This window comes from Homo sapiens, chromosome 2, assembly GCF_000001405.40.
Source record: "Homo sapiens chromosome 2, GRCh38.p14 Primary Assembly".
Taxonomy (NCBI): domain Eukaryota; kingdom Metazoa; phylum Chordata; class Mammalia; order Primates; family Hominidae; genus Homo; species Homo sapiens.
Window position 1 is genome coordinate 113,375,727 of NC_000002.12, and position 14,600 is coordinate 113,390,326.

Below are 14,600 nucleotides of genomic sequence, written 5' to 3' on the forward strand. Positions count from 1 at the left end.
TAATTATAGGCACTTAATTTTGCTTCACATCTTTTCATGGTTTGATAGCTCATTTCTTTTCAATGCTGAAAAACATTCTGTTTCCTGGATAGACTGGTTTATTTATCCATTCACTCATTGGAGGACCTCTTGGTTGCTTCCAAGTTTTGGCAATTATGAATACAGCTGCTATAAACATTCACGTGCAGGTTTTGGTGTGGTCATAAGTTTCAATCCCTTTAGAGATTGTGCCAGGTAGTACAACTGCAGGATCATATGATAAGAGCATGTTTAGTTTTGTATGAAAATGCCATACTGGCTTCCAAAGTTGGCTGTATCATTTTGCATTCCCACCAACAAGCAATAAGAAGAGCTCCTGTTGCTCTACATATTCACAAATATTTGGTATTGTTTGTGTTCTGGATTTTGGCCATTTTAATAAATGTGTAGTGGTATCTCAATTGTTGTTTTAATTTGAAATTCCCTAATGACATATGAGGTGAAGCATTTTTTCATATGCTTATTTGCCATCCATATATCTTTGGAGAGGTTAAGATCTTTAGCCTATTTTTAAAAAGGATTTTTTTATTTTCTTAATATTGAGTATATTTTGGATAAGAGTTCTTTATCAGAAATGTATTTTGCAAATATTTTGTCCTGGTCTGTGGCTTGTCTTCTCATTATCCTGGTGTAGACAGTTTTTACGTAAGTGGAGCTAGTTCCTTTATATCAGTCATAAACAGTATATGTCTGTTGCCAGGGCCAGAGTAATGGGGATATAATGCACACACAGACTGGATTGGGTGACAGTAAGGTGTTATGCAGAACTTATGAGAATAGGAAGCAAGTCTCAGTTCAGTATGTTAAAAGAAAACCTTTAAACAAATTAAATTTAACAGCATTTCACTGAGCAAAGAATGAGAGAATCAGCAGTTGCAAAAAAAGAATAGGTTAGGAGTGACTCCAGGGCTGCCACATGGCCGGCTAATATTTGTGGGCAGAACAAGGAAAGTGATGGATAGAAAATGGAAGTAAGATACAGAAACAGCTGGATTGGTTTCAGCTCAGCATTTGCCTTATTTGAACATGATTTGAACAGTTGGCCACCTGTGATTGGCTGAAACTGTGTGATTGATACAAGAGTAAGTTACAATTTGCCCACACATCCAGTTAGGTTATACTTCACAATATTTGAAGAAACCTTTAGGCTGAACTTAAATTATGTAAGGAAGTAGCTTTAACTTAATTTAACAATTTCCCCTTTAGGAAGTTGACCAAAACTCTAGGCATTGACGTCAACAGTTAGGGCCAAGGGGAGTTCCCTATTATGCTGGAATCTCCTATTTTTAAGAGAACAGAAACTGGTCTGTTTGGAGATCTATCTGCTTTCTTAAAGTTTCAGTTTGATTACATGGCACTTAGCATGCATGACTCTATTTTAGTTTGATCTGGTCTGTTGGGGCCTAGTGCAGTAGCTCAGCCCAGAACAATGCCTTTCATAATTTTGTTTAACTAGTACCAGCAACTAGAATCATCAGATTGGAAGGCGGTGAGCAGCAGTACCTGTTGGAGGTAGCTGCATGGTGGCTGTGGGCTGAGTAGAGTCTAAATGAATGCAAGGTCACATAAGGGTTATCACATAGTAAGGGCTCAAGCTGTCATTATTGATGAGTTCCTTTTTGTTGGAATCCCTAAGAAATCTTTTGGGCTTCGCCAAATTAGAAATTAAATATCTAGATTCTTCCTGCTAATATCTGTGAATCCAGAACTGTGGTCAGAAGTCCAGAAAACAAATGAACATTGACAGATTTCAAAAGAGTGAAAGAGGGAAAGAAAGAGGGGACGAAGAAAGGAAGGAAGGGAGAAATGAAAAATATAAAGAAAAGAAAAGAAAGAAATGAGAGGAGAAAATCAAGCCAGCAGGGAAGCAAGAAATGAAAGGTTTTCTAGCAGGTTTTTCAGATGCAGAAGTGTGTGGTTTAAAATCACAGGTGAGCACAGCAGACCCTTGTCCCCACACCTCCCCTTCTCCCCGACTCCCTTGGCTTAGGGTCAGCTCCCCACCCACTCTGTTGCCTGGGAAAGGAAAAAAGGCTGGAGGAGAGGGGACTTTGTCCAAGACCCCATAGCTAGCTCAGGGCACTTGTGCCCCTTCTACTTAAAAGCTCTAAAGAATTAATTTCTTGGATGTAAGACAGTTAGAACCTCAGATACAAACTGGAAGTCATTAACACTTGAGTAAAGGTAACAGGGAACAGATTTGCAGAATTAAGGAAAGAGACCAAGCAGAAAGCAGATAACTTAATTTCCATAATTTAGACAGTCGTGCAATTTAACAACCAGATTGACAACCTTGAAAGTTTGTCAAGGAGAAATAACTCCCAAGTCATAAGAACTCATAAAGCAAAGAAGAATGGAAAGTACAACAAACTAATTTTCTTTTTGGAAGTAAACAATACCTTTTTCAAAATAATCAGATTCATAAAATTATTGTCCTTGCCAGTTTGTCACATGCAGGAGGAGAAGTCCAATAAAGCATAGGTACAGCACCTGGACTGATGGACATTAGCACTTGGCTTCCTATTCTCCCTGCTGGTACTCTGCGGTGTCTTTTCTTTTCTTTTTTTTTTTGAGAAAGGGTCTCGCTCTGTTGCCCAGGCTGGAGTGCAGTAGCACGATCTCGGCTTACTGCAACCTCCGCCTCCTGGGTTCAAGTGATTCTCCTGCCTCAGCCTCCTGAGTAGCTGGGATTACAGGTGCCAGCCACCATGCCTGGCTAATTTTTGTATTTTTAGTAGAGATGGGGTTTTGCCATGTTGGTCAGGCTGGTCTAGAACTCCTGACCTCAGGTAGTCTGCCTGCCTCGGCCTCCCAATGTGCTGGGATTGCAGGCGTGAGCTACTGCGCTCGGCCATCTTTTCCAGTGGTTTATTCTGCCCCTGGCCCATGGTCTCAAGTGCTGGAAAGGATTTTCCCCACATTTATAGCTCTGAAGTTGAGCTTTTTATCACCTCGCTTTTTGGCTCCCAAGTCTTGCTGCTGGGTAGAATTACCTGGAAAGCTGGCTGCACCTCCCAGATATTTGATTCTTGTGGTGGCATCCAGCTTCTGATCTTTTAAAAAGTCTACAAGGTGATTCTTATGTACATTGAGAACTCTTCCAGCCCCCAGTGGAGCCCTAGTCTTTATAATTCACAGTTGCCAAAGTTCAGGGACATTTGTGGAGCTTTCTGAGGGCTTCCTTAGAAAATGCGTGAAGAGGCATTTTCTTGTATTCCCCCTAAAAGAAGTCTCACAGTCTCTCCCACCTCCTATCAAGAGATCCTACTGAGAATTCCTGTAGGCAGAAGCTGGGGCACCTGTTTTTGTTGGTTTGTTTCAAATAGGCTTATAGTGTAATATCAATTTCTAGAACAAAAAATGAACATATTAACAAGGAAAATGCATACTCAATAACTTCATCATCACAAATTTTAAAAACAAGGCACTAAACTATCTAGAGAAGATAAATATACCAGAGATAAAAACCAATAACCATGTAGGATGTGGGAAAAGCGGTGGCAAGTATAAAATACGTGGCATTAATCCAGACTTTAAAAAAAAAAATAAAATTCTACATGGAACACCTAACCAAGTAATTAAAACAGTTAGAAAATCAACAAATCAGTCAGCCCTTGCAAAAAACTAATTGTAACTGAAAAAAATCATAAAAATATTGCAACAAAGTAGTATTAACTGAAGAATGGAAACTAGGATTTGATTCTTTATTTTAAAGTATAGTCATACTGGACCAGCCAACATGAAAAAGACCAGCCAACATGAAAAAGAAGGAGTATTGCGAGAATATTACTTGTTTTTAAAGGGCAATTATCATCATTTAAAAAGGCAATTATCGTCAGAGAAAAACCTTATTTTCCCCAATGTTATATACCAGTTAATGTAACAGTAACTATTATGAAATACCGTGCAAATTAAATTAAACCACAAACTGCCAGAAAGTCCAGCTTTTGATTAAGGAAGACACACACCATTCAAATGTGGAGGTTCTAGGAATAAGAGAGCCTGGTGCTTAGGGGAGCCAGGACTGCTGGTGCTGCCAACTCCTCTCTCCCTGACAGAAGGTGCTGTCGATCATTCTCCTTTCCTGTCTGGTGGTTGCTGGGGCAGGTCCCCACACTCAGCAGTGGGGTTCTATGGAGGAGGGTGTGTCACTGGTGACTCCATTCCCACAGTGCTCCTTTCTATCTGTGCTTCTCCCTGGGTTCTAAGGCCTGAGCTCAGACCCCCACTGCTTCCCATATCCCAAATGCTGTGGCCAGATTGACCCTTCGTCTAACCGCTTAGGAACCTCAGTCATTGTCCCCGTTCTCTCTCTCAAATACCCCAACGACTAGAAGCCGCTGTCCCTTTCCACACATACACCACTCCCAACCACAGCCTTCCTTCAAAATCCTTCTCTGAGTAGCTTCTTAGTCTTCACCCACCTGCCATTTAGTTCCTCTGACCCTTCTGTACAACATTTATTACCGCAAACCTTCAAGACACAGGTGACTTGTGTACTGACCTTCTGTTTACTGATCCTTTGGTGAATATTGATTACTCCTTCCAAGAGTAGACAGGATGACTCTATATTTTCTTGTTTGATCAGAGGTAAGGACCAAAAAGAAACATTATATAAAGTCCATTGTCCTATGCATTATGGGAACTGTGATTATAGAATATATTGTCCCTGATTTCTGGAAGTTCAGAGTCTTGAATAAGATGTAACACATGTATACAAAACAACTACTACAGAAATGCAACTCAGATGTGTTGGTAAGATCACAAGTTCTTTGAGAGTTCAGGAGAAGATAGTGGCTGGGAAGTGAAAGAAGACCCCATGGAAAGGTAGCGACTAAGCTGGGTCTAAATAATTTTTAGATTGCTCTGTAATCCCAGCACTTTGAGAGGCCGAGGCGGGCGGGTCATGAAGTCAGGAGATCGAGACCAACCTGGCTAAGACGGTGAAACCCCGTCTCTACCAAAAATACAAAAAAAAAAAAATTAGTCAGGCATGGTGGCGGGCGCTACCCGGGAGGGTGAGGTGGGAGAATGGCGCGAACCCGGGAGGCAGAGCTTGCAGTGAGCCGAGATCGCGCCACTGCTCTCCAGCCTGGGCGACAGAGTGAGACTCTGTCTCAAATAATAATAATAATAATAATAATAATAATAATAATAATAATAATAATATTTAGATTGTTTAGAAATTTTCGTAGTATTTAAATATGCCAGAGATAAAAACCAATAACCGTATAGGAAAGAAAAATATAACTGGTTGGGATCCCAGACAGATGTTGATATAGTTTGAGTACGTGTCCCCACCAAATGTCATGTTGAATTCTAATCCCTAGTGTTGGAGGTAGGGCCTGGGGGGAGGTGTTTGGGTCCTGGAGGTGGATCCCTCATGGCTTGGTCCTGTTCTAGGGGTAGTGAGTGAGTTCTCGTGAGATCCCATTGATTAGGTTTGTGGCTCCTCCCCCACACTCCCTTTCTTGCACCTGCCTGCACCATGTGACACACAAGCTCCCACTTCACCTTCTACCATGTGTAGAAATTTCCTGAAGCCTCCCCAGAAGCTGATGCTGGGTCTGTGCTTCCTGTACAGCCTGCAGAACCGTGAGCCAATTAAACCTCTTTTCTTATAAATTATGCAATCTCAGGTATTTCTTTTTTTTTTTTTTTTTTTTTTTTTTTTTTTTTTTTTTTTGAGACAGAGTCTCGCTCTGTCGCCCCCAGGCTGGAGTGCAATGGCATGATCTTGGCTCACTGCAACCTCTGCCTCCCAGGTTCAAGCAATTCTCCTGCCTCAGTCTCCTGAGTAGCTGGGATTACAGGCGTGTGTCATTATGTCTGGCTAATTTTTGTATTTTTAGTAGAGATGGGGTTTCACCATGTTGGGCAGGCTGGTCTCGAACTCCTGACCTCATGATCCGCCTGCCTTGGCCTCCCAAAGTGCTGGGATTACAGGCATGAGCCACTGCGCCCAGCCAATCTCAGGTATTTCTTTATAGCAACACAAGAACAGCCTAATAAGGATGTAGAGACAGGAAACAGTTGCGATAGCACGAGTGTAGAAACTCTGTAATTATGCTCTCTAAAGGGGATATTTTTCCAACATTTAGAAAAATAATATGCTGAGATGAGAGTTTTACATTCTATAATGAAAGACATTAGAGGAGATAGTATAAAACAAATATTGTCTGACCTGTGGATAATTCAGTCCCAGGATAGTACATGTCTAGACTCTCATTCCATTACCAGTGAGTGGTGCAGACTGTGCCTCCTGACATTGACTGTCCCACATCACTTTTCTCATATTAAATCTTAAAGCCAGATAAGGGAAAAGTATGAGCAAACACCTGGAAACTGAAAAAAAAAAAGGGGTGTATCTAGGGGACAGTGAATGAGTAAACCATTTTATCTTGAGAAAACACCTCCATGAGGGAATAGTAGAGAAGGCAGGGGTGTTTTGTGGCCATCATTTTGATTTCACTCTTTGATATCATTACCTTTTGGTTGGTGCATTTTTCTAGTCTGTTTTGATGCCAAGGCAATAAATTTTTCTTTTGGATGTTGTGTTTTTTAGCTGTAGAATTTTCATTTAATTTTTAATTTTAATTTTTATAATTACTATTTTTCTTGATTTTTCCCCATGTGTTGTTCACTTATAGTCACTCTTTCCTTTAAATTTCTGAACATGCACACTTATGATGCTATTTTAAAATCCTTGTTTGCTAATTCCAATATCATGTCTGTGTCTGTTTCTACTGACTCTATTTACTCTTGGTTATGGGCTAGATTTGCCTGCTTCTTCAAATATCTAATAATTTTATATTGTGTCCTGGCCACTGTGGAGGCTATGTTTCTGAGAGTCTGGACTTTATTGTTTTCTTTTAAGGAGTCATGGATTTTGCTGATTTATTGGTGGATAAGCTTGATCTTATTGAGTGTTTGTTTTAGACTTTATTAAGGTCAGTCTGGAGTTTCCCTTATTCTATGGCGAGAGAAATCCTATTCTTAAGTCATGGCCTTTATTGGAATCTAAATTGAATGCTCAGGGTGTTCAGCAACATCTCTTCACTCTACATGGTCAGAACTCCAGATTCTTTCAGTACATGTGATCTCTGGAATCTGTTCAGCTCCATACCCCAGCCTCCCCATGGCTGTTCTCTGCTAGGCTTTAGTATTTGGCCAAAGATTTAAGATAACCCATGTCCAGGGGATCACAAGCCTGCATTGTCTATTATCCAATATCTGAAAAACAGTTACTTTACATATTTTGTTTAGTTTTGATAGTTTACCACAGTAAGAGGGTACTCTTACTCTTACTCTTTCACAGTAAAAGTGTACTTTTACTCTCTCATGCCTGGAACCAGAGGTGTCTCACTTCTAAAACTCTTTTGTGAAGCTGGTACTGCATAGCCAGGTACCATGGTGCTAGCCAAATTCCCAAGAATAACAGTGCCTCCTTCTTTGAGATTCCCAGCAGGATCTGTTTTCTTGCATTAATTTAGATAAACCAATTATTACCCTTGGTTTACACCAATACGAACAAGTAATGTGAGAGTTCTGCCCTACTGTCTGTCAGTCTGACAATAACTAGGACACTATTCCACTCTGGGCACCACACTTTTAGTGAGACATAGGCCACCCAGAGCTCAACCAGAGGAGAATGGCTAGAATGTTGCAGGTAATCTATTTTGTTGTGGATCAGTAAATAGAACTGGGGATACTTAGACTAATTTCTTTAACCTTAGTCTTTGTTTTACGAATCATTGTGATTGCTACCAGATTTTATTCTGTCAGCAAAATATTTTTAGGGATGACTATTCTCTTCCTTGCCATTTCTAATTTATGAATTATTTAATGATATATATTTAACTATGTGGCTTCTCAATTTTTGTCTGGAAAATTACAAATTCCTTTTCAGTTTTTTTCCATTTTATTTTATCCTCTTTGAGCTCTTTGTTTTCTGAGTTAAATTCTTACTAATTTACTCTATAGCGTAAAATAATTGTGAAGAATTTCTTCCAATTCTTTGTGGCATTATCACCAAGGCTGACTCATCCATTGAACACAGTAGGCCCAGTGTCTAAGACCCACAGTACTTTCAGAGGCCCAGGAAAGTGTTTTAAATTTTATTTCTTTTAAAGGCAAAAAATAAAGATAATAATATTAATATATAATATTAAGTTCATATTGGATTATATTAAATAACGAAAATGAGGTCATAAAATATTGTTTTTATGGAAGAGGAAGCTCACATAGACAAAAGTTCCTAGAAGCCACAGAAGTCATAGCATGACCCTGATTATCATCCGTAACAAAATTAACATGAATTCCTTAGTATCATTTATTACCTTTCTCATAATTGAATTTTCCCAACTATATGAACATTATTGTTTTATAGTTGGCTTGTGAGCCCAGGATCCAAATAAAGGGTAACACATGAAATCTGATTGTCATGACCCTTGAGTCTCTCATCTAAACTGGCCCCTCTGCCCTCTTAGCCTGACGCCACTAACCTGTTGCAGATATTAGGCTAATTGTCCTAACCAGATTGGTTTTCCTACCACTTAGATTTGTGTATTTGCTTCTTTGTGGTGTCATTTACTCTCTTTCTTTATTTCCTATATTTCTTGTAATGGAAGCTAGTACTACAGGCTTAATGAATCCATGTGTAACTTCTGTGGAAAGGACGTTTTACAGAAAATGAGGTGTGCTTCATGCCGGTTCATAACGGAGACTTCCAATGTCTGTTAACTCCAATTTTATTGGTGCTAAGGTTTATTGCATTCAGGTAGTCATAGATTATTTAATACATGAATATTGCTGCCTGAACATTTTTTATTAGGCTGTGAAATTGGTGAGTTTTTAACTTCATTCTTGTCATAGCGGTTTTCCTCATCATCTAGAAGTATTTTGTTCTTTACAATTCATACATAAAAGTTTGGATAAATGCTTATTTTTTCCCTTAAAATGCCAATTTTTATATTAAGTAGTTGGTATACTTGTTGCTTTTATTGGTATTCAATGGATTATTACCTTTTCCTGCTGTAAAGCTCACAAGTAACCACAATGTGATGGCAATGAGTTGCCCATAACTGGCGTGTGGTCCTCTTAATCCTGGTCTCCAATGAAAGGAAACAGGGTTCCTTAAAGGATAAGGAATCAAGTTTCCTTGAGAGAATGGCTGATTCTGGGTCTAGGGCAGGAAATATACAAGATGATCCTGGAATATTTTCCATGCCAGAAAGCTAGGAAGTTATCAAAGTGTAATGGCTTGAGTCAAAAGGACATAGGGGCTCTTACTAGTCAAAAATAGATCAACAAGAACATAAAAAATAAAAACGATTAAAATAAATTGACTCAGGCTAGGCACAGTGGCTCATGCCTGTAATCCCAGCACTTTGGGAGGCCAAGGCAGGCAAATCACCTGATGTCAGGAGTTCGAGACCTGCCTGGCCAATATGGGGAAACCCCATCTGCACTAAAAATACAAAAATTAGCTGGGCGTGGTGGCAGGAGCCTGTAATCCCAGCTACTTGGGAGGCTGAGGCAGGAGAATCACTCAAACCCGGGAGACGGAGGTTGTAGTGAGCCACGATAATGCCATTGCACTCTAGCCTGGGTGACAGAGCGAGACTCTGTCTCCAAAAAACAAACAAACAAAAACAACAAAAACCCTCATAACCAGACCAAAAAAAAAAAAAAAAAAACAAAGAAACAAACAAAAAGAAACAAACAAAAACAAATTAACTCTATGGGATCTCTGAGCTCACTGCTCACTGTAGAGAAGGAAGGAGGGAAGAAGAAAGACAGAGAGAGATAGAGACACACAAATAGAGACAGAAAAAGAGAAACACAAAGAGAGAGAGAGAAAAATATATACATGCATATGCAGTTATGCATGTTTTCAGACGATACCAAATTTCCCTTCCATAAGAGTTGCACCATTTTGTATTCCTTCCGGCAATTTATAAGAATTCCCGTTGTCAAACAGGCTCACCATCTGAATAAATTATTGAATTTTAATAGCTGAGAAGTGGCATCTTGGTATAGTTTTAATTTGTACTTATCTTCTTATGAGCCATGTTGTGTAACTTTTCACATGTTTAAGATCAACTTCCAATTATTTTCCTATGAAATCTCTATGCATATCTTTTTAATTTTTTCAATATATTGTTGGTCTATTTCCCCTAAATTTGTAAGAACTATTTGTATATTAGAGATAGTACCCCTTTGTCTATGATATAAGTTGCAAACCTATTTTCCCACTCTTTCATTTGTTTTTCAACTATGGTGGTAGTCTTTTCTTGCCATGAGAAAAATTTTGTTTTTGCTTGTCTTTGATGTAGTTGAATTGACCAGTCTTTTAAAATTGTGTCATTATTAGATGAGCGACTTTCTTTCCAGCTCACCTGAGAATGTGTTTTCCTGTTGAGCTATGGAATGGGCGTTGGGTATTTTGTGTTCCTCTGAGAAAGAGAAGAGGTGTGTCTGGCAGCCAGGAGTTGACCTGGTCCTATCTGCTGGGTGTTGGCGATGCTGTGAGCTGCCTGGCACCCACAGATGGATGTTGATGTTCTCTTGTGAGCATCAGCAATTTCATAGAACATCTCCTTCAGACCATATCATTTTGTGCCAATACTTAAGACAAAAACAAGACCTCTTCATAATCATGTCTGAGCATGAGCAAAGCATGAGCATTGTTCAGATCACACAAATGACCAATGTCTCTCTATTCTAGCTAAGATGAATAACTACTGTTTCTTCACCAACTACAGCTTTAACGTTCTTTACCAATTATAGCCTTAACCCATTAAGGCTTTAATACAGGTTTACATCTTTCTACATAAGATTTATTAAGATACCCTATTACGCTAGAATTACCCCCAATTCCTGACAACACCCAGTTCAGATCAAAGCCCCATTTCCTGAAACCCTTCTCCCAGATTATTGCCTAACACTACCCCAAATCCTCTAAGTCCTTTCTGACATCCTCTTAGTGAGACACCCCACCGTTCCCTGTAGTTTGTATTCTCCCTCACTTAACCAGTAATAACCTCACTTCTTCAACTACAGGTGTGTTCCTGGTGGCCTTTGATTGGAGCCCATTAACATCTCCACTTTTCCTGGTAGCCCAAGGGAATGGGGAGACAGTAGAGGGAAAGGGCAGCTGAGGGCTCTGAGCATTGGTTAGAATGCTTGGGCAACAGATCGCTCTTCCGGTTTCAGTACCATGAGGACTCCCCTGGGCATTGGTTTGCTTTCCTCATTCCATGTGTAGCCTTGACTTCTCTTAGAGGAAGTGCACCCTGATGTCCCTCCACCTTGTTTCTCCTGTTTCTCCCCAGCATCTGTTTCCACCAGTCACCAGCAAGCGGAGGATCGTATAAGGACACCCTTCAGTGTCAGTGTGCTTCATTATGCTTTTGGATGTGTTAGTAAAAATTCTCCGGATTTGGAGGTGGGTGTGGAGGGTGGGGCTGGAGGACGGAAGAGGAACTTAGGAGCTAAATGCTGACCCTCTCTATTTTGCTCCAGAATGTTCTTTTCCTTTCTCTCTTTGAGTCACCAGTTTCTTTACTGTATTAGGCTATGCCCCTTTCCTTGTTTTATTGCTATCAGTCATTGCTTATTGGCCTTTATAATTTTTTTAGTACCAGGATGGAAAACTCTACAATATTGTTTTTTTCCAATACCGAAGGCGTCTCCTCTCCTCATCCCTGCTCTTTCCCTCCAGTTAAAAAAGATAAATAAACACTCTCTGTTGACAAATGTCTTTTCTCTTTTCTGTAGACTCTGTGAGTTCTCCTTTCAGTTTATGCTTTTGGAAACAAAAGTCCTTGTCTGTCCTTCAGGTGCGAGTCAGAGCCAGATTCCTGACTAAATGGAGGGATGCAATGAGAAATTCATAATAAGAAATTATTTTGTTGTCATCTATCATGTAAGTTTTGTCTTTAGTGGTGGTAACATGTGCTCATTCATCGTAGTTCGTTGCTCGTGCCACGTGGTCATTGTCTCATGCTTATGGGCACCTCTCTTTAGTGACACCCACCTATTGGGGGGAATCCCATTTGTAAATAATTTTGTTGATGTGCTGAATACAAATTGATTTCCTAGAGTCTTGTCTGTTTTGGGCTGCTATAAGAGAATACCATAGACTGAGTAATTTATAAGGAACAGAAATTTGTTTTTTTCACAGTTCTGGAGGCTGGGAAGTCCAAAATCCAGGGGCCATTAGGTTCATTGTCAGGTAAGTGTCTGGTCTCTGTTTCCAAGATGTCGCCTTGAAGGCTGCTTCTTCCAGAGAGGAGGAGTGCTGTGTCCTCACAAGGCAGGAGACCGAAGGGCAAAAGGATTCTAACTTCCTCCGTCATGCCTTTTTCTAAGCAAATCTAATCCTATTCATGACAGCAGAGCCCTCATAGCCTAATCACCTCCAAAAGGCCCCACCTCTTAATACTATCATATTTGTAATATTTGATTCCTGGAGGGGATGCATTCAAACCATAGCAGATGCTCATGAAACTGGAAACAGTGGCTAATGCCGAGAAAGAAGCTGAGGATCTGGGAAGTCTTACTTGTGGATTTTACGTTATATGTTCCATTCCCACATGTAAATAAATGAGTTAATTGAAATGGAAGAAAATAAAGAAAGATGGAGAATTGCGACATGGAACAATGGACAGCAGTCATAACATAATGGGTGAAAACAAAGCTCAAGTACATGAGGATGATTATATCTTTAATGGTATCTTGAAGCTCTCAGAGATCATCAAGTCTTGACTTCTATGTTAAAAAAGAAAGAAAACTGATGACCCATATTTCAACTGAGGCATGTGACATTTCTGCTCTACTCAGCACTCCTCACTTATCTAACAAAAATTCATTACGGCTTCTTATGTTCCAGGCACCGGGCTAGGTGTTTAAGGAAAACAGAGGGAGGAAATAAAAATGTTTATAAAACGGCTTTTGTCCTCAACAGCTCACAGGGCAGACAGACCCTGACAGAATAGAGACCTCATGAAGAGTGGAGATGGGAAGGGCATTCTCTCCACACGCATCCCTGTCCCACCTCGGAGATTTCCTCCTCAGAACGCTCCCTCTTACTGCTTTCCTGTCTCACTCTTTCAAGCTCTCGGTTTAGAAGGTGTTTCCTTAGAGCACCCTTGCTGACCTCTCAAGTCTGGTGAAAGGCCCTTCTCACTGGTGCCTGGATGCCCTGTGTACTCCTGTCATGCACACAACATAGCATAGTAAAATGCCTGGCGTGTGTGTTTGTCTTTTCAATACTCTGAGCTCTGCTCATTGGCAAATCTCAGGACATAGCACAAGCTGTGGCCCCTAAATGTTAACTGAATGAACGAACGGAATCACTGGTGTCTCTTTAGCTTGAAGAATAGAAAGCCCTTGTAGGACAAAGAAGATTGGGAGAAATGTGAAGTCTGGTGTGGACTCTGTCAGAAGGCAGAACTGAACCAATGGATGGACTTAGAGAGACTTCGGTTTCACATCAGGAATGATATCATAGTCAGAACTCACGACACACATAATAGGTTAGATGAGGGAGGAGGGAGTCCTTCATTGCAGGAGTTTTTAAGGTGAATACAAGAAATGGGAGGCATTCGGCCTGGCGCAGTGGCTCACGCCTGTTAATCCCAGCACTTTGGGAGGCCAAGGCGGGTGGATCACAAGGTCAGGAGTCGAGACCAGCCTGGTCAAGATGGTGAAACCCCATCTCCACTAAAATACAAAAATTAGCCGGGTGCGGTGACGGGCACCTGTAATCCCAGCTACTTGGGAGGCTGAGGCAGAAGAATCACTTGAACCCGGGAGGCAGAGGTTGCAGCAAGCCAAGTTTGAGCTACTGCACTCTAGCCTGGGTGACAGAGCAAGACTCCATCTAAAAAAAAAAAAAGAAATGGGAGGCACTGAGTTTCTGGCTCAGTTTGCTGATGCCAGAAACACAGAGATGACTGGTAAGTAAAATCCACTAGAAAGTGCATGACAGGTTTCTTTTTCCTTATATTTTTCTTTTTTAAATACAAAAGTAATACCAGTCCACTGAAAATTTGAAAAGTATATGGCATTAAAAAGAGAAAAATAACATCTGATAATCCAACAAGATAAACTCTCTAAAATTTCTTTTCTCTTTTTAAATGAATATGTTAAGCTTGAAATATAATTTTAAATTTATCTTGATGTTTTACTCAACAATGTAGAAGCATCTTTTATGTCATTATTTTAAGTCACAACCACTTTTAGTGATGATGATTAAAAGAACCATTTGCTTTTTCCTTACTGTCCCGTTTTTAGATTTTTGGCTAGTGTCTAATTTTTCCCTGTTATAAATAATGCTGAGATGAACAGAACATGTAGAGTTCTAATAATTTGCAAGTGAATAGCATATGAAAAACATGAGCAAAAATTTTGCAGTCATAATGACTCAACACAAGTTTTAAATAAATTACTTTCGTTTTGAGCATTCATTCTTAAATATGTTATAGGAAGTAAGTAAGAAGCATTCCTTACTCCTTATTTTGTTTATAAATTAGTGATGAATTGGAAAGGGTAGC

General features: G+C 40.0%; 1 long non-coding RNA gene across 1 annotated transcript in view; it reads left to right on the top strand.

Moving 5' to 3' along the window:
- The window catches only part of LINC02966 (long intergenic non-protein coding RNA 2966), a 101,028-nt gene that overhangs the window by 50,689 nt on the left and 35,739 nt on the right, over nt 1-14,600 (top strand). The window lies entirely within an intron of this gene.